General features: G+C 40.4%; 1 protein-coding gene across 15 annotated transcripts in view, besides 2 other annotated features; it reads right to left on the minus strand.

The window, feature by feature from the left end:
- The window catches only part of INTS9 (integrator complex subunit 9), a 122,309-nt gene that overhangs the window by 95,804 nt on the left and 2,232 nt on the right, over positions 1–24,273 (minus strand). Inside the window, exon 1 of one of the 15 annotated variants that reach the window (XM_011544574.1) lies at positions 14,293–14,298. The exons of the other annotated variants lie outside the window; for them this stretch is intronic. The gene's annotated coding sequence lies outside the window, so the exon portion shown is untranslated. Of the gene's footprint in view, positions 1–14,292; positions 14,299–24,273 lie in introns of those variants that run through there. 15 annotated transcript variants of the gene reach the window in all.
- Positions 6,679–6,728: a silencer, noted in NCBI's record as "silent region_19066". NCBI's record gives its function as "represses an Ori minimal core promoter by ATAC-STARR-seq in GM12878 lymphoblastoid cells {active_cell/tissue: GM12878}" and the evidence as "EXISTENCE:reporter gene assay evidence [ECO:0000049][PMID:35858748]".
- Positions 7,290–7,936: an enhancer, noted in NCBI's record as "OCT4-NANOG hESC enhancer chr8:28728271-28728917 (GRCh37/hg19 assembly coordinates)". NCBI's record gives its function as "activates a minimal SCP1, AML or CMV promoter by ChIP-STARR-seq in naive H9 embryonic stem cells {active_cell/tissue: H9 hESC(naive)}" and the evidence as "EXISTENCE:reporter gene assay evidence [ECO:0000049][PMID:30033119]".

A 24,273-nucleotide genomic window follows, 5' to 3' on the forward strand; every position in this document is an offset into this window, starting at 1 on the left:
AGCAAAAGTTATATAAATTTTAAAATGCAGCCTGGGCGTGGTAGCTCACTCCTGTAATCCCAGCACTTTGGGAGGCCAAGGCGGGAAGATCACCTGAGGTCAGGAGTTCAAGACCAGCCTGACCAATACGGTGAAACCTTGTCTCTACTAAAGATACAAAAATTAGCTGGGCATGGTGGCGAGTGCCTGTAATCCCAGCTACTTGTGAGGCTAAGGCTGAGGCAGGAGAATCATTTGAGCCCAGGAGGCAGAGGTTGCAGTGAGTTGAGATCACGCCACTGCACACCAGCCTGGGTGACAGAGCAAAACTCTGTCTCAAAAAACAAAAACAAAAACAAACAAACAAAAAGCAATGTACAACTACTTGCACAGCAATTATATTGTATTAGACGTTATCTGCTGTGGGTATGGAGGGACTACTATAGTATCTGTATTTCCCTGTGTGCCTTTTTTTCATAGAATAAGTGGAAAATGGTTTTGAAAGTTACATATGGGTAAGATAAACATTATTTATATTTTTTGAATAAAAATTTTATCAGTTATACTTAGTGTATATATTTCTCATTCTGTTATTTTCATTAAAAAGCTTTTATTATGGGCAGGCATGGCGGCTCATGCCTATAATCCCAGCACACTGGGAGGTCAAGGCAGGAGGATAACTTAAGGCCAAGAGTTCCAGGCGAGTCTGGACAACACAGTGAGACCCTGTCTGTACAAAAAATAAAAAAAATTAGCCAGGTGTGGTGGCACACAACAGATGCCAGAAGACAATTGGAGTAGTATCTTTGGGGTTTTAAGGTAATTTGCTAGCCCATAATTCCAACACCATCATTGTTGAGAAGTAAAGTTAAGACATTTTCAGACCAATAGTAACTAAGAATTCACTATTTCAACACCATCACTGAAGGAGGTATATTCAAGATTATATTTCAGGAAGAAGGGAGTTGAACTCAGAAGAAATGAGATACAAGAAGGATTGGTGAGCAAATAAATTGGTTAAAATATTGTTAAATAATAAGTATTTTAAAAGTCAAATAATTCATTGACTCTAAAATATGATTAAAACATGTCTGTCTTTTATTTACATACCACTGAGAAAAACAGCAACAATGAGAAATCATAACACAGTGCTTTAATGATGGGACTGAACAGTGCATTATATTATTATACTAATTTCTTTTTTCTTTGAAATTCCTTTCATCTAGTGTAAGAAATTTATCATTTGTCTTCATGTGCGTGAGAATGAGATATGGAATCCTGTTGTACATATCTTGGTTATAAAACATCAAAGCTTCAACTTGGCCAGATGCGGTGGCTCACGCCTGTAATCCTAACATTTTGGGAGGCTGAGGCACGTGGATCACTTGAGTGATTAGCCCAGCATGGTGGTGCACACCTGTAATCCCAGCTACCCGGGAGGCTGAGGCAGGAGAATAGCTTAAACCCAGGAGGCGGAGGTTGCAGTGAGCTGAGATTGCACCACTGCACTCCCTCCTCAGAGACACAGTGAGACACCGTCTCAAAAAAAAAAAAAAAACAAAGTTTCAACTTGTAGTCAGTTTTCATAGTAAAAAAATCTCAGAGAATCAGAAGAAAAAATAAAAACAAAAAATCATAATAACTAAAACTTGAAAATCAAGAAATAACAGTATAATCATATTATTGAAAAATATAAAGGTAACTAGCAGAGTCAAAAAGGTTACCTCTTAAATTTGGGAACTGGGGACTGAGAGTTTTTACAGTTTGTAAAACTATTTGATTCATTTTTAACTGTGCAGATATAAAATTTTATTTTAAAAAAAACACATTAGACAATGATTCACTGAATTAAAAAAAGTAGATGTATCTATACGATTTATAAATAAACCTAGAAGCCTATTTAGAAATAGCCCAGCTACTTGGGAGGTTGAGGCAAGAGGACTGCTCATGCCCAGGAGTTGAAGGCTACAGTGTGCTGTGATCATGCCACTGCACTCCAGCCTGGGCAACAGAGCTAGACCCCATCTCTAAAAAAAAAAAAAAAAGTAAAATTTTTAAAAACTTGGAAATAGATTTTAAGATAAAGATTATCACATAATCATAAACAGTTCACTGGTAATATATAATAACTGTGACACTTATGTACAAGCAACGTAGCCTCAAAATACATGAAGCAAAATTTGACAGAATTACAAAGATTTCTGGGGAGAAATCTGCTGCCAGTCTAGGTGGTGTTTTAAGCTGCTATTAAAATATTCTCTTTGTTGTTGGTGCTCTGATTTTTCAAAAAGATGTGCACGGGTATGAGGTATAACTTACTTTCCTTTTGGTTTATGCTTCTAACACATAACTCGTCTTTCACAACTGTGAAAAATACTGTCAGCCATGATCACTTTGAATACGGCCTCTCTCCATTTTTTCTAGTTTCTACTTCTGGAATGCCTATTAAATGCATGTGGTAATGTTTCATTTTACTCCCCCCTCCCTGTGACTAAATTATCATTTTTTTTTTTGCAATGTATAGTGCATTCTGGGTATTTTCTTCAGATTTATCTTACATTTTGCTAATTCTTTCTTTAGTGGTGTCAAATCTGCTATTTAGCCAATGGGTTAAATACTGAAATTTTCTTCCTAGTGACTATGTTTTTCAAATCTAGAAGTCCTCTTTCCTTATTGAAAACAGCATCTTATTCTTTTCAAAGGTTTGCATTCCTTCATACATGCCTTTAAATCACTTTCACATATTAAGAGTCTCCATGTTACACGATTTTCTGAAGTTCTTGGTAGTCTTATTATGACTACTCATCCTAACTCATGGTGGATTTCAGATCCTTTAACAATTTGCATGGTGAGCTCATTTTTAGTAGGGCTTTGTGGGAATTCTGTGGGAGCTCTATGAGGAATGGGTTGGGGCCGGTCCGCAATAAATGTCACCATTTTGAGACCATTTTATGTTGATTTCTCAGCTTATATATCTGTACTATAAGGGGAGCATACGCGTCAGACTCTCAACACTCTTAAAGCACTGGCCCAAGCTCCTTGCAGAGACGAGCTTCCTTACAGACCCCAGGGGCAAACAAATGAAATTTTCCTAGTACTCTTTTCACTGAGTACTAGTACTGTATACAGTCCTTGGGAGTTTCTTGGTTATCAATCTTGAAATACGCATTTTGAATGTTACATTTATTACTAACAAGATTAAATCATATTATGTTAAGGTTTCAGCAAATCTAATACTTTAAAAATCTGCTGGCCAGGCGTGGTGGCTCACGCCTGTAATCCCAGCACTTTGGGAGGCCGAGGCGGGCGGGTCATGAGGTCAGGAGATCGAGACCATCCCGGCAAACACGGTGAAACCTCATCTCTACTAAAAATACAAAAATTAGCCAGGCATGGTGGCGGGAGCCTGTAGTCCTGGCTACTCAGGAGGCTGAGGCAGGAGACTGGTGTGAACCCGGGAGGCAGAGCTTGCAGTGAGCCAAGATCGCACCACTGCACTCCAGCCTGGGTGACAGAGCGAAACTGTCAAAAAAGAAAAGAAAAATAAAAAATCTGCTTTCCAGCCAGGCGTGGTGGCTCATGCCTGTAATCCTAGCACTTTGAGAGGCCGAGGTGGGTGGACTGCCTGAGCTCAGGAGCTGGAGACCTGCCTGGGCAACATGGTGAAACCCCACCTCTACTAAAATACAAAAAATTAGGCTAGAAGCAGTGGCTCATGCCTGTAATCCCAGCACTTTGGGAGGCCAAGGCGGGTGGATCACTTGAGGTCAGGAATTCAAGACCAGCCTGACCAACATGGTAAAACCCTGTCTCAACTGAAAAAAAATTAGCTGGGCGTCGTGGCATGTGCCTGTAATCCTAGCTACTTGGGAAGCTGAGGCAGGAGAATCGCTTGAACCCAGGAGGCGGAGGTTGCAGTGAATGCAGATCGTGCCACTGGACTCCAGCCTAGGTGACAGAGTAAGACTCCGTCTACAAAAAAAAATTAGCCAGGTGTGGTGGCGTGAGCCTTAATCCCAGCTACTTGGGAGGCTGAGACAGGAGAATCACTTGAACCTGGGAGGCACAGGTTGCAGTGAGCTGAGATTAAAAAAAAAAAAAAAAAGGCTATACAAACAAAATGACAGCCAGCCAACTACTTAATCTCACAAAAATCTTTAAAAGCAGTATGAAATACTGTGAACTTCCTAAAAAAAATTTGGCAAATTAGTAAATTTGGCAATTTGGTAATACGACAAATTGAATTTTAGTGAACTGACTTTGGGTAACAAGTCTGTTTTTTTTTTTTTGCAAAAAGAACCATAGACTAAAACATCATCTATGTTCTTTTCTCTAGTCTTGTTTAAAGTAATTAAAATACGCATAGTTATTATGCTATGGTGTTTATTAGGTATCGGGTACTCTGTAAGAACTTTATATTTTAACTCTTATAATCCTCCCAAGAATGCCATGAGGTAGGAATCATTTTCTCATTTTACAGATGAAAAAAATGAGGCATAGGAAGTATAAAACATTCACATGATCCCAAAGTTCTAAGAAAATGTGCCAGGACTTGAACCTGGACAGTGAGCTCCGGAATCAGTACAGTTAGCCAACACAGCATACACACCGTGTTACACAGTATGAAAGGCATTGTCAGAGACCTAAAGACATATTACTTTTTGCAGAGGTGGTATAATCTAAAAGACCTTATTTTGAATTGGTAAGAATGCAGATGAGTTTATAATCTGGTTCTGAACAAAGAGGATTAGTTAGCTGACTGATGCAATAAAGGTCCCAAGTAAATTAAATTATTAAATTGCCCTGCAATCCATCATAAGCAGTAATTTTCTTTTGTTGGTTTTCCTTTCCATTCAAAAACAGTGAGAAGATTCTCTTACTGTAAAGTAGTTCTGCTGTTGAAACTGCCTTTAATTATCTGTACTGTAACCTATAACTTCTAGGCTGAATTGATGCCAATAGCTCTTTACTCTCGCTTGAGAGAACTGCACAGTCATAAAGAAACTGTTTTTTTTTTAAATAGGCAATAGTGTTAATGAAGTAAGTTGTAAATGACATCACCAATTTTTTCCGTTTTCTATTTAACCAACCCATGCATCACATCATCCAATAGCTCATTTGACATCAGCATAAAGTACTAGTTCTAACTTTGCTGATACATTGATGTTAGCCTGAATGAATCCCTAAATTCTATGGGTCTCAAATATCTTCATCTGACAAATGAGGAGATTTAACTAGATTATTTTAAGCTTTCTTTTAACACAAAAATGTTGTTTCTCATTATTCCACCATTTCACTGGGTCAGTCAAAACTCCTCTTTTATATAACCTGTCACCAACACGTTTGTGACATTGTGCTCTTTATAACTGACTTTCTGGGCTGGATGCGGTGGCTCATGGCTGTAATCCCAGCACTTTGGGAGGCCGAGACGGATCACCTCAGGCCAGGAGTTCAAGACCAGCCTGGCCAACATGGCGAAACCCCGTCTCTACTAAAAATAGAAAAATTCGCTGGGCGTGGTGGCACGTACCTTTAATCCCAGCTACTTGGGAGGCTGAGGCAGGAGAATAGCTTGAGGAGGCAGAGGTTGCAGTGAGCAGAGATCACACCATTGCACTCCATCCTGGGCTACAGAATGAGACTTCTGTCTCAAAAAAAAAAAATTGACTTTCTGACAATGTAAAAAACTATACAATGCACAAGCTGGAACTAATTTCAACATCATCTAAATGCTTCCTTTAAAAAAAATATTTTATTATTTTCTTTCAAAAAGTTTAAAATAGAGATGGGGTTTTGCCATGTTGCCCAGGCTGGTGTCGAACTTCTGGGCTCCAGCAAGTGATCTGCCAGCCTTGGCCTCCCAAAGTGCTGGGATTACAGGTCTGAGCCACCATGCCCAGCCTAAATGTTTCTTTTAGAAACAAGGAACCCTGTTCTTCCAGAGCTTGTAAACTTTTCTCTTCTCCAACACATCCAAGTATAAACATTCGCTGCCATCAGTAAATGCAGCTCACTAGGAGATACTCCATGGCCTAACAGGGCATATAAGGTTCCCAGAGGGGCTGGGAGCATCCCTACCTTATATTACTCCATTCTGAGATGCTGGCTTCCACTGAGCCAAATTTGCCTAATTTGGAGGCAAATTACCTCTGCTAGGAATTTTGGGCCAGGCCCTCCAACAATCAGAGTTCTATAAATACATTTCAGTTTTATTTGGTAATCTTTCACTTTCTTCCACTTTGTGTCTTGATTCCATCTCGCAGGAGAGCTGTTAAATGTGCCAATCATACTCACTGTCAAACTGACTACACAGCTGGATAAAAGAGAAGGGTAATTTTCCACTTGTGCAGAAAATCTTAGCATGCATGGTGAACACAGAAAAGCCACTTTCTGGTTGAAGAGTGGCTAGATATCACACACAGCTGAGTAACTGCCACTTAGGGCTGCTCCCTCACACTCATCCTGTCCTCTACTTGGCTTTCCATGAAAATGAGACAAGCAGCAGAGGGTGGTCATAAAAAGCAAAATTTCCCCAAGAGAAGCGCAGGAAGGGTGGAAATGTTGATAGTAAATCATTAAGGGCGAGGGAAGGAAAACAGGTAGGGGCTGCCTTCGGAACCAACATGTTTGGCTATCTGGAACCAGCACTTAATACACGTTAAGAAGTAATTATAGTTGATGAAAAAAAGTTCATGGAACTATATATGTGACTGTTTGTTACATATATATATATGTATGTATAAAAGACTGTAAGCACACACACCAAACTGATTGAAGTGGTTACCACAGGGGCGAGTGGTTGATCATACTGGAACTCTCACTTTCTACTTAGATACTTCTGTATCCTTGACTACTACTTCTTTTAAACATTAACCATTTTTTTTTTTTTTAGAATCAGAAAAAAGCTTTTTTTTTTTTTTTTTTTTTTGAATAGAGTCACTACCAGAGAAGTTTCTATTGGCAACAAAGTTTTTAAGGACAATATAATTTATACAAATTGCTGAAAATGTGCAACAATGGCAACTTGCAAGAAAGAAAAATGGTTAACGAAATGGTAAAACTTGTAAATGGCTAGAGGATCAGCATCAAGAAGGGAGACTTATTAGTGTATGTCGGTTCAGGAGTAAGCTAAGAATTTATTCTAGCATGTTAGAAATATGCTTTCTTTTCTCTCTTCAAACCACATATAAATGCAATGGTTCAAGTTTCAAGGTTTAGAAAAATCTGGACATCAAAATCAATCATAAAGCATAGAGCAGAAATACTAGGGAGTTGCTGGTCACAATTGTGAAGACAATCAGGAAGGGGTTCCCTAACTCAACAGACTTTCAACGCAGACAAAAGTGTTTTATTTAGGGGGAAGATGCCTGGTATAATACGTTTCAGCAAGGAGGAGAGCATGCCTAGTTTCAATCTTTGAACAAATATGCTTCTGTGTGGATCAAGAGTTGGGGGTGGGGAGAAGTTTACACCCCTTTAGTCACTTCAGATTTTCAAAGAAACGGATTTCCAAACAGCTTTTGATAAATTAAGTTTTTAAAGACAGCGAACATTTATTAATCACTTACTTCATGCTGGGTTATTCACATGCATTTATGTAGGCACAAAAACCAGGCTGACTGGCTAAGTACTAGGGCTGAGAAAAGGCTTTTCAATGGAAAAACTTCTTACTAGTCACACCGGTAGTAAGTTAGGAGTCAGCAAAGGAAAGAGCTTCCGTTTGTCTCTACCATTTGGTAGAGACTTTGGGAGAGAACGGAAGCAGTAGCTTCTTCACTAATGTATGCTGATCCTACAGATTAGGCAGAAGGGAGAGCCATACTTACTGGAGGAACTAGTTAAATTTTGATTTTCAGTTTACCTTGGTCCATGATAAAATACTTCTTTGAAAATCTTTATTATGGAATCTGAGCAAGGAATTTCTAAAATTTTAGGGAAATATTTAATATAATTCTGGGGTAGGAGATAACTTTTTTTTTGAGACAGGGTCTCACTCTATTGCCCAGGCTGCAGTGCAGTGATATGATTACGGCTCACCGCAGCCTCAACCTTCTGGGCTCAAGCAATCCTCCCACCTCAGCCTCCTAAGTAGCTGGGACTACAGATGCAAGCCATTATACCTGGCAAATTTTTGTATTTTTTTGTGGAGATGAAGCCTCACTATGTTGCCCAGGCTGGTCCTGAACTCCTGGGCTCAAGCAATCCGCTCACCTCGGCCTTCCAAAATGCTGGGATTACAGGTGTGAGCCATCATGCCTGACCTAGGAAAGAACTTTTAAGGCATGATCCTAAAGCCATGATCTTGGGAGAAAATACTGATAGACTAGATTACTTATACTAAGGACTTTTCTATGAGAAAAACTACTTTGAATAAGGTAAAAGATTATCTGGGAAAATAATATTTATAAAACCAAGACAAAAAATTGATATCCTTAATATATAAAGAGCTCTAAGAAATGAGTAAGATTCCAACAGAAAAATGTGCAAAAAGCACAGTCAATTCATGAAATACAAATGAGTGAAAAAACATATGTAAAGATGTAAGAGAAATGCAAAACAGAAACCCAGAAGAAATAAAAGTGTAATTTAAAACTATACTGACATAAAATGCCCAGTCCATACATTGGCAAAGAAGCCAAAGATGAGGTTGTGGGGAAGTGGAAACTCTCATTTACTCTATGGGTAAAAACTAAAGCAGTCCTGAAAAGCAATATTGCATCAGAGTTTAAAATGTGCATGTATAGTCTTTGAACAAGAAATTCCACTTAGGAATTTACAATAAACAAATACAGTAACTAGATGGGTGCAAACAATCTAAACAGTATATTTTCATCAGCACTGTGTGGGACAGTAGGGAATAAAAACCAAAATTTCAACAGTAGAATATGTCCACACAATGTTATACTATAAACATACTCAAAATGAACTACATAAATGTTCCAAATGAAAAAGCTTATGAGCATTGTCTCTCATTAACTATATGTCTCTTCTCCTTTTTAAATTAGAATCCATGTCTTAGCTGTAATTATGGCCACCTGGAATAAAAACTATTTGCTAGACTTGACTGCAACTAGATGTAGCCATGTAAGAAAATGCTGGTCAGGAAGGTATAAATAGAAGTAGTGTACACAACTTTCTCAAAGTGTCAAAGGGAGAGGACATGGCTTTCTTTGTCCCTTCCTCCTTCCTACTGACTAGAATAGGGATATGATGGCCTGAGCTGGTAGTCATATTGGATCACAAAGAGGAAGTCATGGATTACAGATGGTGGAGCTACAAGCTATCAGGAGAGCCTGGACCTGCCACACCAGCCCTGGACTATTTAACTCAGCACATCATTTACACAACAGAGATGTAAACATTTATCCTGTTTAAGCCACCATTACTTCAGGCTTTCTGTCACTCAGAGCTGAATCTAATCCTAACTGGTGTACAGTTTTAGGGTGACTCACACAGAAGGTATCACTGCACACACCCATCCTAGCAGGTATACCATAATGACTGATTATTTGAGGTGGTGAGATTACAGGTGATTTTTTTTTTTTCTTTATGCCTCTCAGGACTCAGAAGTATATTCTGAAAATTTTTTCTTACAGTAATACGTATTGATTCTGTAACAGTTATTTTTATTTTGAGAAAAGTTTTCTAAAAATGTGTTAAAAAAATAGAAGCTTTCTTTTACTTAGTTCCTTGAAAGAACTCTCATTAGTTTAGTCAGATTGATTTCTTTTGAAAAACAACTATATTGCCTGACAGTTTACCACTGAATCTCAGCAGCCTGCCAGGCACACAAATAGGTTTTACTAGGCTGAATTTCTTAAGGTTTCCTGAAGAACCCCACATAAAGATGGTCATTTATCTTTATGGATAGATTTTCCATAATGGATTTATGGATGAATTTATGGATGAAAGGCAGTTTGCCAGTCCTCTACCAAGTTGCTATTTGCAGACAGGTGACATATTCAACAATTTCACCCTTTAAAACTTTCAGGTCAACATAATGTTGAATTAAAGAAGCCAGACACAAATGAGACATAAGGTATAGTTCCATTTAAATGAAGTTCAAGAATAGGCAAATGTGAGACACAGTGATGTAAGTCAGAATAGTGATTAACTGGAGGGAAAATTATTGACTGGGAAGGAAACAAAGTTGGTGGAAATGTTCTATATCTTAATTTTGATCATGAATACATGGATGCATATATAGGTAAAAATTCATCAAGCTGTATGTATGCTTGAAGCTTATGCTAGTTGAACTGAATGAAAAGTATACCTAAAACCAAACAAGCACCCTGAGGACTGCAACATACTTTCTAGTAATTTGTCTATACTCAACATGTCGATGTGACTGAGAATATGTATTTATCAGTTCTGGAAGAAGAGGATCCCCCCTTCCCACTATCTCTTCCTCAACAGAGATGAAAGTCAAGGAATTCTTTAAGGTTTCTCTTCCCTCCTTATTCATATCTGGACATTCTTCTCATACTATATCATCAACTGGTCCCACTGATTGTTGGGATGCCTTTTGCCCCCTGGTGTATTTGTGGATTCTGTTACTGCTTCCGAGGTCTTCTGCAAAGTGCTAAAAAATATCTTTTCTCCTATGTAGGTAATTCTGACTTGGAATTTGCTTTGATGCATTTGCTAAGCTCCCTAATTCTTCTTGTTTTGATTATATGTCACTTTCCTAAATATTTTCTGTAACTGCAATGAAGTCATACTTTCTGATTTCACATTCCAGTTTTTCTTAATTGTGTAAAATAAAGCTCTTTTAACTCCTTGGTCCCAGATTTCCAAAGGGAAAAAATTAAAGGCTCTACATGTTTAAAAATTCATATTTAAACTGTTTTTTTTTTTTTGTTTTGAGACAGAGTCTCGCTCTGTCACCCAAGCTGGAGTGCAGTGGCGTGACCTCGGCTCACTGCAAGCTCCTCTTCCCAGGTTCATGCCATTCTCCTACCTCAGCCTCCCGAGTAGCTGAGACTACAGGCACCTGCCACCATGCCCGGCTAATTTTTTGTATTTTTTTTTAGTAGAGATGGGGTTTCACTGTGTTAGTCAGGATGGTCTCGATCTCCTGACCTCGTGATCTGCCTGTCTCAGCTTCCCAAAGTGCTAGGATTACAGGCATGAGCCACTGCACCCGGCCACTTTAAACTCTTAAACTTCCTTGAAACTTTTCCTGGAAAACAGAGAACCCCCATAATTCTTATTCTTTACTGTCTAAACCACTAAGTCTTGTAGTAAAACCCACCATGCTTTTGCTTCAATTTGCCTAACTTTCCCTTCTAAGACATTTATTAGGTCTGCCCCTGCCCCACTTATAGTGATCTGTTGTTCCAATCAAATACACAAATCTTTCAGATGTTAATAACATTATAATGAAACTAATTTCATGAGTAGCTGTATTAGTCCGTTTTCACACTGCTGATAAAGACATACCTGAGATTGGGCAGTTTACAAAAGAGGACTTACAGTTCCACGTGGCTGGGAAGGTCTCACAATCATTACATAAGGCAAGGAGGAGCAAGTCACATCTTACATGGATGTCAGCAGGCAAAGAGAGAGCTTGTGCAGGGAGACTCCCTTTTTTAAAACCATCAGATCTTGTGAGACACATTTGCTATCATGAGAACAGCTCAGGAAAGACCCGCCCCCATGATTCAACCATCTCCCACCAATCCCTCCCACAACACGTGGGGATTATGGGAGCTACAAGATGAGATTTGCGTGGAGACACAGATCCAACCATATCAGTAGTTGATATTCTGAACTATCCAAATAGGAGGATGTCTTGGGGGAAATGTATCCATTTTTGTACACACTGCTACAGAGCACTACAAAGCAAAAAAAATACATAATAAATTGTACACATACATCACTGGGGAAATGGAACTTCTCCAAATTATTTTTACTTTAACTGTTCCTTCTACTTGTAATAACACATAACACTCCTTCTTGAAAATACTTATCAAAGTACTTTTCAAGGTCAGTTCAGATTTTGCCTCTCTAGGGAACTGTGATTCTCCCATTGGCATTCATCTTTTTTTTTCTTTCAACTTTTAAGCTCAAGGGTACATGTATAGGACGTACAGGTTTGTTACATAGGTAAATGTGTGCCATCGTGGTTTGCTGCAAAAAATCAACCCATCACCTAGGTATTAAGCCCAGAATCCATTAGCTATTCTTCCTGATGCTCTCCCTCCCCCTACCCACCCCTGATAAGATTAACCTTCTATAATCCTAACCTTACATAGGTCCCCACTGCCTGTATCAGGGGCTATCACCAAAACGTTATATTCTCAATCACATACATTGAATATACACAGTTTGTTCAATAGTGAGTTACTGATAGGTAGGATCTATGTCTTATTCATCTTTATGTCTCAGAGCACTGAGAATGTTTTGTACAAGATAGGCATTTAATAACATTTGTTCAATTGTATAGCCAAACAATGGATTTTTGTTATTGCTTCTCTTATCTGTTAGCTATAACTATCACACAGTCATCAACATAGTCATCAACAGTTTCCTCCTACTGGATACATAGCTTCAATCGAAAACCATTTAAAAATAAGCCACCACTTAGGGCTCTGAGCCCCTTTTTGTTTCTATGGAGATTTTTTTTTGGGGGGTGTGTGTGGGTGGCCATTACGTTTATTTTAACAGATTGATTGTTTACATTTCTTGGGTTTATCAGGCCTATCTCTGAAGTACAGAGAAACTATTTCTGGCTGTTCTGTTTTCCAAGGAAACCTTGCAATTTTCTTTTAAGGTCATAGAAATCTATTACTCATTTCTTCCCTGTGTTTTGGCTAGGGATCATGTGTAGAAATCCATTATTTCTATGAGTCTGTTATGCACCACCTAAGACTTTAAGTTATAAAATCCATTGTTTACTCAAAAGTCTGGAAAGGGCTTACAAGATATAATTAACTGCCTAGGACACACAATAAAACACAAATACATTTTCTCTTTAGAAAAATAACTTATTGTTAGGCTATGTAAAAGAGTCTCTCTTTACTAATGACTAGAAAATTAAGGAACAAGAAAGCAGTCAGCTACAGCACGTAAATTAAAATACATAAAAATTTCAAGCCAAAAGTCAGTATCACAGTCACCTGATAAGTTTAAAAAGAATGCCCACTCTAATCAGAAATAGAGACGCCTACTACCAAAACTCCTATTCCAAATCATTCTGCACGTATAAGCCACTGCAATTACATCAGAGAAAGAAATGAAGTGTAAAAAAAAAATCTGCAAAGTTATGCACCTGGAAAACCCATGAGAATCAACTGGAAAGGGTATTAAAAATTAAAATTCAACAAGGGGCCTGTGTAGTGAACACAATAAATAAATAGCCTTCTTATATGAAAACCACACAGGAAAAGATTTCAGTAACAATCAAAAAGATAAAGTATTTAGATACAGATTTAACAATAAATATCTAAAAGCTATATTAGCAAAAGGTTTTAAAATGCTACAAAGAAACATTTAAAAAAAGAAATAAAGGAAAAGACATGTCTTATTCTTAGACTCAATGATACAGTAAAAGAAATTAGTCAATTCTCTCCTTAAATTTTATAAATTCAATCTGATCCCAATAAAAACACAAAAAGGATTTTACTGTGAACTAATAATTCTAAATTTATACAAAATGTAAAAATCTAAGTTTTATACAAAAAAATAAATGTCTGAGAGCAGCCTGGAAAATTCTGAGGCACAGGTCAATGAACAGGAACAAATACTATAAGATATTAAAATATACTCCAGAACTACATAGGGTAAAATAGTTTACTACTGGAATATTAATAGATCAAGAGGAAGAGAACTGAGCAGGAAATGGAAATACAAATGCTTTTATAAATATATAAAAATATGCTCCACATTGCATACATAATGTGAGAAAAATCAAATTTAAAATATAATGACATAATATTTTTTCACTTTTCAGTGAGAAAAAAACAAGTTTGATCATTACATTGTAGTGGTAAGCATTAGGATATGCTACTGGCAACTGCAATTTGATAAATCTCTATGGGAGCATTTTTGCAATAAACCTTAATAAAAAATGCATATACCCTTTGAACCATCAATTTCACCAGTAGAAATGTATGCTACAGATGTACTCCCTAAGAGGCTCAAAAAGGAGATAATCTGTAAAATGTGAGTTGTAATTGCAAGAGACTGGAAACAATGTTAATTGATAGAAGTTTGGTTAGATAAATTATGGTATATTTAAACAACAGAACACTATGCAACCGGTTTTTCTTTTAGCAACAGTATGAATGTATTTTTGAGATATATTGACACTAGTTTCATAATTATGTTTTAAATCAACAACAAAAACCATGCCCTAAACTTTAATCATGAATGATTTTTAAAATAGTTGGGGGAGGGTGTTGGTGGTGGAACAATATCTTTCAGGCAAATATCCACAATTCTAAATGCTTCCTACAAGCAACGAAAATACAAAGGGTGTTAGAAATATTTTCTAAAAGTATTTGAAAGCAGTATTGAAAATATCTCATTGTTCAGAAAAAAGTATCTTGAAACCAAAAGAACTGGGATCTTGTTAAATGCAGATTCTGTTCATTAGGTATAGGTATGCAGTCTTACAAAATGAGGTAGTTCTAGATATTTATATGAAATAATCTTAAAGACACATCTCTAACTTAAAAAAGAAAAATCAATATGCCAAACCAATGTGGATAATATCTCATTATTTTTGTAAAAAATAAAATAGGGATGAAAACTATATACATGTACAAAAATCCACAGAATATCTTTGAAAAATACAAAGGAAACTGATAACTGAGATTCCTTCTGGAAAGGAGGATAAAGACTGAAAGAGTGGGAGGGAATCATTTAACTGTTTTTGTTTTTTGAAATACGGTCTCACTCTGTTGCTCAGGCTGGAGTGCAGTGGAGCGATCATGGTTAACTGTAGCCTCGACCTCCTGGGCTCAAGTGGACCTCCTACCTCAGCCTCTTGAGTAGCTGGGACTACAGGTGTGTGCCACCACATCCAGCTAAAAAAAAAAAAAAATTGTTTTTTTGTAGAGACAGGGTCTGACTGTGTTGCCCAGGCTGGACTCAAACTTGCGAGCTCAAGTGATCCTCCTGCCTTGGCCTCCCAAAGTGCTGGGATTATAGGTGTCAGCCACTGTGCCTGGCCTTCACTGTTTTTTTTTTTTTAAAAAAAAAACAAAACAAAAAACTCTTGTATAGTTTACTTAAAAAAAAATGTTGGGCCAGGCGCGGTGGCTCACGCCTATAATCCCAGCACTTTGGGAGGCCCCAAGGCGGCCAGGTAACTTGAGGTCAGGAGTTCGAGACCAGCCTGACCAACATGGAAAAACCCTGTCTCTACTAAAAATACAAAAATTAGCCAGGTGTGGTGGCAGGTACCTGTAGTACCAGCTATTCTGGAGGCTGAGGCATGAGAATCGCTTGAGCCCGGGAGGTAGAGATTGCAGTGAGCCAAGATTGCCCACCGCACTCCGGCCTGGGTGACAGAGTGAGACTTCGTCTCAAAAAAAAAAAAAATTAAAGAGGAAATAATACTAATTCTTCATACACTCTTGTAGAACATAGAGGAGGTACAGAGGAAGAGGAAACATTTTCCAACGCATTCTATGAGAACAATATTACCTGATACCAATGTCAAACAAAGATATCACAAGAGAACTACAGACCAATATCCTTCATGAATATATACACAAACATCCTCAACAAAATGTTAGCAAACCAAATCCAGCAACATATACAAAAGATTAAACACCATGATCAAGTGGAATTTATTCCAGGAATGCAAGTCTGGTTTAACATTCAAAATTCAATTAAAGTAATATATTAATATAAAGACAAAAACCACATGATCACCTTGATAGATGAAGGAAAAGCATCTTACAAAATCCAAGAACCATTTACGATAAAAATACTCAACAAGCTGGATAGAAGGGAATATCATCAGCCTGATACAGGGCATCTATGAAAAACGTACAGTTCACATCATATTTAGGAGTGAACAACTGAATATTTTCTTCCTAAGATGAGGAACAAATCAATGATGCCTGCTTGTACTACCTCTATTCAACACTGTACTGGAGGGTCTAGCTAGTACAATCATGCAAGAAAAAGAAGTGAAAACATGGAGAAATTGGAAATGAAAACTTATGTCCACACAGTCATAACAGCCAAAAAGCAGAAACAATTCAAATGTCCATCACCTGGTGCAGGAATAAACAAAATGGAGAGTACCCATAGAGGAAAATATTATTCAGCAAGAAAAAAGAAACAACTGATATATGCTACCACATGAACGAACTTCAGAAACATTACACCAAATGAAAGAAGATGTCTTAGCCACAAAAGACCCCATATCAAATGAGTTAATTTACATAAAATGACCAGAAAGGGCAAATCTACCGAGACTCGTGGTTGCCGAGGCCTGGAGGTAGTAACGGAGATCTTTTTGGAGTAATGGAAATGCGCTAAATCTGGATCGTGGTGAATGAGGCACAACTCTGAAATCTACTAAAAGTCATTGAATTTTGTTTTATATGCAAGAATTTTACATATTACATATTACACCTCAAAAAAGCTGTTTAAACAATGTAAAAAAAGGTAACTATAATAATATCATTTACATATTAAAACTACTGCTTTTTACCCATATTTCCACATGCTGGAAAAAAATAGAGGAAAGAAGACTTATAAAGCTAGAATATCTCATTATGCTTGCCTTTATTTTAATGGCATAGAAAAATGTAGACATAGCTCTCCCTCTCCCTCTCCCTCTCCCTCTCCCTCTCCCTCTCCCTCTCCCTCTCTCTCCCTCCACGGTCTCCCTCTGATGCCGAGCCAAAGCTGGACGGTACTGCTGCCATCTCAGCTCACTGCAACCTCCCTGCCTGATTCTCCTGCCTCAGCCTGCCGAGTGCCTGCGATTGCAGGCGCGTGCCGCCACGCCTGACTGGTTTTCGTTTTTTTTTGGTGGAGACGGGGTTTCGATGTGTTGGCCGGGCTGGTCTCCAGCTCCTAACCGCGAGTGATCCGCCAGCCTCGGCCTCCCGAGGTGCCGGGATTGCAGATGGAGTCTCGTTCACTCAGTGCTCAATGGTGCCCAGGCTGGAGTGCAGCGGCGTGATCTCGGCTCGCTACAACCACCTCCCAGCCGCCTGCCTTGGCCTCCCAAAGAGCCGAGATTGCAGCCTCTGCCCGGCCGCCACCCCGTCTGGGAAGTGAGGAGCGTCTCTGCTTGGCCACCCATCGTCTGGGATATGAGGAGCCCCTCTGCCTGGCTGCCCAGTCTGGAAAGTGAGGAGCGTCTCTGCCCGGCCGCCATCCCATCTAGGAAGCGAGGAGCGCCTCTTCCCCGCCGCCATCCCATCTAGGAAGTGAGGAGCGTCTCTGCCCGGCCGCCCATCGTCTGAGATGTGGGGAGCACCTCTGCCCCACCGCCCTGTCTGGGATGTGAGGAGCGCCTCTGCTGGGCCGCAACCCTGTCTGGGAGGTGAGGAGCGTCTCTGCCCGGCCGCTCCGTCTGAAAAGTGAGGAAACCCTCTGCCTGGCAACCGCCCCGTCTGAGAAGTGAGGAGCCCCTCCGTCCGGCAACCACCCCGTCTGGGAAGTGAGGAGCGTCTCCGCCCGGCAGCCACCCCGTCCGGGAGGGAGGTGGGGGGGTCAGCCCCCCGCCCGGCTGGCCGCCCCGTCCGGGAGGTGAGGGGCGCCTCTGCCCGGCCGCCCCTACTGGGAAGTGAGGAGCCCCTCTGCCCGGCCAGTCGCCCCGTCCAGGAGGGAGGTGGGGGGGTCAGCCCCCCGCCCGGCCAGCCGCCCAGTCCGGGAGGGAGGTGGGGGGATCAGCCCCCCGCCTGGCCAGCCGCCCCGTCCGGGAGGTGAGGGGCGCCTCTGCCCGGCCGCCCCTACTGGGAAGTGAGGAGCCCCTCTGCCCGGCCAGCCGCCCCGCCCGGGAGGGAGGTGGGGGGGTCAGCCCCCCGCCCGGCCAGCCGCCCCGTCCGGGAGGGGGGAGGGGGGGGTCAGCCCCCCGCCCGGCCAGCCGCCCCGTCCGGGAGGGAGGTGGGGGGGGTCAGCCCCCCGCCCGGCCAGCCGCCCCGTCCGGGAGGGAGGTGGGGGGATCAGCCCCCCGCCTGGCCAGCCGCCCCGTCCGGGAGGTGAGGGGCGCCTCTGCCCGGCCGCCCCTACTGGGAAGTGAGGAGCCCCTCTGCCCGGCCAGCCGCCCCGTCCGGGAGGGAGGTGGGGGGGTCAGCCCCCCTTCCGGCCGGCCGCCCCGTCCGGGAGGTGAGGGGCGCCTCTGCCCGGCCGCCCCTACTGGGAAGTGAGGAGCCCCTCTGCCTGGCCAGCCGCCCCGTCCGGGAGGGTGGTGGGGGGGTCAGCCCCCCGCCCGGCCAGCCGCCCCATCCGGGAGGTGAGGGGCGCTTCTGCCCGGCCGCCCCCACTGGGAAGTGAGGAGCCCCTCTGCCCGGCCACGACCCCGTCTGGGAGGTGTGCCCAGCGGCTCATTGGGGATGGGCCATGATGACAATGGCGGTTTTGTGGAATAGAAAGGCGGGAAGGGTGGGGAAAAAATTGAGAAATCGGATGGTTGCCGGGTCTGTGTGGATAGAAGTAGACATGGGAGACTTTTCATTTTGTTCTGTACTCAGAAAAATTCTTCTGCCTTGGGATCCTGTTGATCTGTGACCTTATCCCCAACCCTGTGCTCTCTGAAACATGTGCTGTGTCCACTCAGGGTTAAATGGATTAAGGGCGGTGCAAGATGTGCTTTGTTAAACAGATGCTTGAAGGCAGCATGCTCGTTAAGAGTCATCACCACTCCCTAATCTTAAGTACCCAGGGACACAAACACTGCGGAAGGCCGAAGGCCGCAGGGTCCTCTGCCTAGGAAAACCAGAGACCTTTGTTCACTTGTTTATCTGCTGACCTTCCCTCCACTATTGTCCTATGACCCTGCCAAATCCCCCTCTGCGAGAAACACCCAAGAATGATCAATAAAAAAAAAAAAAATAGAAATAAAATAAAATAAAATAAAAAAAAAAGAAATATATGCAAGCGATATTAACAGCTAAAAAAAAAAAAAAAGAAAAAAAAAAAGAAAAATGTAGACATAATGTATTTAGAAAAAGAGACTCTGATTAAGCCATAAATCTGAGAAATGGATTATGCAAGACATCTTATTATACACCTCCCCCACCTCTTCATAAACATCAGTGATGAGAAATAAACTACCCTAAAGCCAAAAAAGGTGTTAGTTTTACAATACCTATTAAAGAATAGCTTTCTTGAACATCATTTGTCTGATTACCTGTCTTTGAGAGAGCTAAAAGTTCATTCAAATGTGCTTTCAATAAATTTAAACATTTTAAATCTTTGAGGCATTTCCTTCAAATTCATGGTAAATCAGGGGCCATTTAAACCTGTTGTTTTTCTCACAGTAAAGTTCCCACCACACAGTTACTAGTCTTGATCACTGAGCAACTTGCGACTTTCAAGCCAGTGCCTTTCTCTTGCAGGGTCTTCTCTATTTTCCCTTCCTGTCCTTTCTTTTCCTACTCTTGCCTTTTCTTGCGATCCCTGCAAATTTCTGGCACGTACCCCTTTCTTAGCCCTGCCTGATGTGTCAACTCCAGGCTTCCTCTCACTGGCCTTCCCCTTTCTGGGGAGTATAGGGGATTTCCTCTGCCATCTACCCACACTTCCCCAGCTGCCTCTCCAATCTGTCTGATCTCACAGTACCATCATCTTAATTCCTACATCTATGCACTGGCATTTCCAAAGCAACACCATAGATCTTTTACAAGCTTCCTTTTGAAGATTCTTATGGCACCATATTTTTATCTGAAGAAATGTGTTCCCCTTTCTGGTCCATCTTCCCACGTCTGCAATCACTACTCCAGGGACACTTTACTAAACACGGATGAAGTCTATAGTAGACTGAGAGCATGTGAGGATAGATCAAAGAAGAAAGTTACATTCAGAAGACAAATAGTAAAAGTAAAGAAACAGCATCATTGGCAAGGGTGGGGAAAATGCATTCTCATATACTACCTGTACAATGGAAAACTAGTGAGCAATTTGGCCTTATCTGTTAAAATTTTCAGAAAGCATATTACTGGATACAATTAAATACAGTTTTGACCATTACATGTAACAAAAATATTTGAGCCTGAGCCCAAGGGTATCTCTAATCAGGACATTCAATGTAATACTGCTTGAATTGGACAGTAAACCCACTAGGCTTCACGTTCCATATAGGCTGGGGATAAATCTGTTTTGTTCACTGCAATATGCTTAGTATCTTGAGCAATGCCTGGTACAGAGCAGGTGTTCAGAAGATTTGTTGAGTAAATACATGAATGATGGAGACCTGAGGGTTGGTTTATGCCTGGACCTCTGCTGGTGTTCAGCAAACCAGGAGTGTATTTTCCATGTGGAATGACTTGGTGGCCATGCTGCAACCTGGGCCCTTGTGAACTGTTAACTAAATATTGCTGAACATCAGAGCAAATGCCAGAGGGATATGAGTACTCAGAGCAAACCAGTCACAAAACAAATATGCTACTGTGGTACCGTGGTTATAGCAAGAGTAATGCTGTAATACTTCTATTAGTACAGTCTTCTGGCTTTGCTGATTGACCATAGGTAAGCCAGATTTTTTTTTTCAATTCAACTACTACTACCAAAAGTCTGTCATCAGTGTATCTTTTTTTTTTTTTTTTTTTTTTTTTTTTTTGGTTGGAGACAGGGCCTTGTTCTGTCACTCAGGCTAGAGTGCAGAGGTGCAATCAGCTCACTGTAACCTCAAATCCCTGGGCTCAAGCAAACCTCTCACCTCAGCCTACTGAGTAGCTGGGACTACGGGCACAAGACACCAGGCCTAGCTAATTTTTAGTTTTTTTTGTACAGACAGGGTCTCACTATGTTGCCCAGGCTGGTCTGGAACACCTGGGCTCAAGTGATCCTCCTCCTCAGCTTCCTGAAGTGCTAGGATTACAGGTGTGAGCCACTGTGCTTGGCCCGATATATTTTTTTGCCTTGTTAAGTATAAAATATTTAATCTTCAGAATAATAATTTTGGACTCTGAAATGCCTAAGAGTAAAATATCCATCTTTATCACAGACCATTACTGAGAAAGGTATGTAACTTAGCCTTATGTCACACGCAGCTTTTCAGAGTTTGAGGAAATCATGAAGGAAAAAACCTATTGAGGTTATGATAAAATATGACCTTTGAAAAGCTTGAAATGACATTACATCCTAAAGACACAGGAGGGCACTCTTATTAACCAGCAAAGAAAAACAGAAAAGACAGTGAAGTCAAGCTGACATTTTAACAATTTGTACTGCAATAGTTGAATCAAGCACCGATAAAATGTTGAGGGCTTGTAATTTATAGCCCGAGATTTCCTGTTTTCATGTACAACCTAGGAAGCCAACAGGATTCTACAACCATGTAAACTGGAGGAAGAATCCAACACTCTCAGATCCAAGGTGAGGATTAACCACGCCCCTTTCTAATGATTTCTTAAACTGACCTTGGGGCAGGATTTGCCCCTTTCAAGCAATCTTCTACATAATCTACAATTGCACTCGGTGTTTTACTTGTCTTCCACTGGGAGCAGTCCATGAATTCATTTCTTTGCTCCATCTGTTTTCCCAGGAGAAATGGCAAGTTAAAAGTTTGAGCCAGTAGAAATGAAACAGCATTTTGAACAAAGGAGCAAAGACCACTGAAGAATGTATTTCGTGGCCTTCTCAAGTTTTAAAATTTGTAAACACAACTACAGCATGTAATTTTCTCCTTCAAATTTAATAAGTATAGTATAACAAGCATTTAAATGACCTTCCTTTAAGACTTTTAACAAGCCGGCCTCTGCAGAGCGCCATGGATTCTGAGGCACTCAGGCCCCTCCCAAAGGATTAACATTAATCTTAAAGTCACATTCAAATTTGTGTCTCAGCAAAATTATAAATAATTCCATGTCACAGGGGTCAAATGTAATGGTTAAAATGGAAAGCGTTAAAATTGTGAATGCCAAGGGTATACTGTGGTTGCATAAAAAATCTTTGTTGACTGAATAAGCCAGAAGATTCTCTCCATCTCAGGTACTATCTGTAGGAAGTACAACACACAGGCTGCATTCTTGAACTGCTTTGGATTATTTTATTCGCTTGACTCTTCATCTATTTAAATGACTGGGTTCCTGGCCATGATGTTTCAAACTTAATTTCTGTCAACGTGCTCAGAATTTTTTGTTCCATGTTCTTTCGGTAAGGACCTTTGTGAATTCCAGTTTCTATCCTTAGCTGAACTGGCCATCAGCGTACTCAGTTAGGCTCAATCTATACAAATAACAGAACATGCTCTAAAATGTGCTAATTTAAAAGATATATTTCTAATTTTCCTCTGCTTTCTAAAATGATTCTGGTTAACTGAAAATGCCAATGAGTTTTCTTCAGTTAAATAAAGCTGCCTGAATATTGCATATTATAAATACGGAAAGCCACTGAAATCCTCTGAGTTGGTATCTAAGAAGGAGATACCCAAGTATTACGTTATAATGGCATCCATTGTTTTCATGTGGGTGTGTGAAAAGCCACCAAGAGGGTGATGTGCAAAGTTAGAGAATTATAAATGGTATCACAGGAGCTAAATTTGGAAGATAAAAAATACTAACTTCAGCACCAAATTAGTATGCTCTGATATGGGGGCCTTTAGCTCATCAAGAAAGTCCTCAAACTTAAAAAAAATTTTTTTTTAACCAATAACCTTAAAAACTTTTTTTTGTTTTTTGTTTTTGAGATAGGGTCTCATTTTGTCACCCAGGTTGTAATGCAGTGGTGCCATCACAGCTCACTCCAGCCTCAACCTTCTAGGCGCAAGTGATCCTCCTGCCTCAGCCCCTCAAGTAGCTGGGACTACAGGCACATGCCACGACGCTCAGCTAGTTTTTGTATCTTTTGTAAAGACAGGTTTTGCCATGTTGCTCAGGCTGGTCTAGAACTCCTGATCTCAAGCCATCTGCCTGCCTCCGCCTCCCAAAGTGCTGGGATTACAGTCATGAACCACTGCACCTGGCCTGAAGATCTTAATTGAACCACACTTGCATTTAAAGCTAATTTTTAAAAATAGCCTTGAATATATTTTCTGTATGCACTCTACCTTCTTTTTTTTTAAGAGATAACCTAGGCATGGTGCAGGGTGCTAGAGTTCCTACCCTCACTAAATAACAGGGAAACCTGGGTTTCGATCTTGGCTCTATCATTTTTAATCCATGCTAACTTTAAGCCACTTACTTCACCTCCCTGAAGCTCACATTTTTTGTCTGTAAAATGGGAATACTGTCACCTGGATCAAAGGATTAAATGGGAAACTACATAGCAAATACTTAGCACATTGCCTGGCACACAATAATTGCTTTATAAAAGGTAGCTATCATTCCTTTTTTACTTCAATGGTTACTGCTTATTGTAATCTCTTTAATTTCACTCTTTAATCTTTTCTCAAGGGTATCCATAGACCTTGATAAACCTTCAGAAATTATTTACCAATTATTTACACAGAATCTACATGGGGGAGGACAGACACACGCCAATAATTACAAGTGCTACAAATAGGAAGTATGCCATCAAATATATAACAGGGGTACTTAATTCAACGAGGCCCTGAAGAAGTGTTATTTAGACAGAGATCTGAAATATATGAAGAAATTAGCCAGGCAAAAAAGAGTGAGGCAGGCAATGGAACATATTCAACCAAGTTAAGTGTAGGAGGTTATCCTAAGGGCAAAGGAAGATACTGAGAGGGTTTCATGGAACTCTGCAATTAAAACAACTTCCGGATGCAGAGGAAAGAATGAATTTGAGAGGGTTAAGACTGAATGCAGAGAGACCAGATAAGGGGTCTTGTTGAATTCCGATTACAAAGACAGTATTCTAGTTGGACTGGAGAGAAATAGAACCTATTTAAGAAAGCTGCATTTAGGAAGCAGAATCAATAAGAGGTGGTCATAGATTGTGTGTGGGAAGGGTACTCTGGAAAGTGAATCTCAAAAATGAGAAAATGCTAAACAAAATGTGTTTTTGTTTCATAATTATAAATTTAAAACACAGCCTATTACATATTTCTGAAGCAGTACACAAAATTAAAACTTTTAGGCCATGGGAGGACTTATTCCAACCATTTGGGAGGCATGACACACCCATCTAACTTACTGAGCAACAATGCTTTTGGTATGTTGATGGGAATTCTCAATTACATTTATCTATCAA

The sequence above is a fragment of the Homo sapiens genome, chromosome 8, assembly GCF_000001405.40.
Source record: "Homo sapiens chromosome 8, GRCh38.p14 Primary Assembly".
In the NCBI taxonomy this organism is placed as follows: Eukaryota; Metazoa; Chordata; class Mammalia; order Primates; family Hominidae; genus Homo; species Homo sapiens.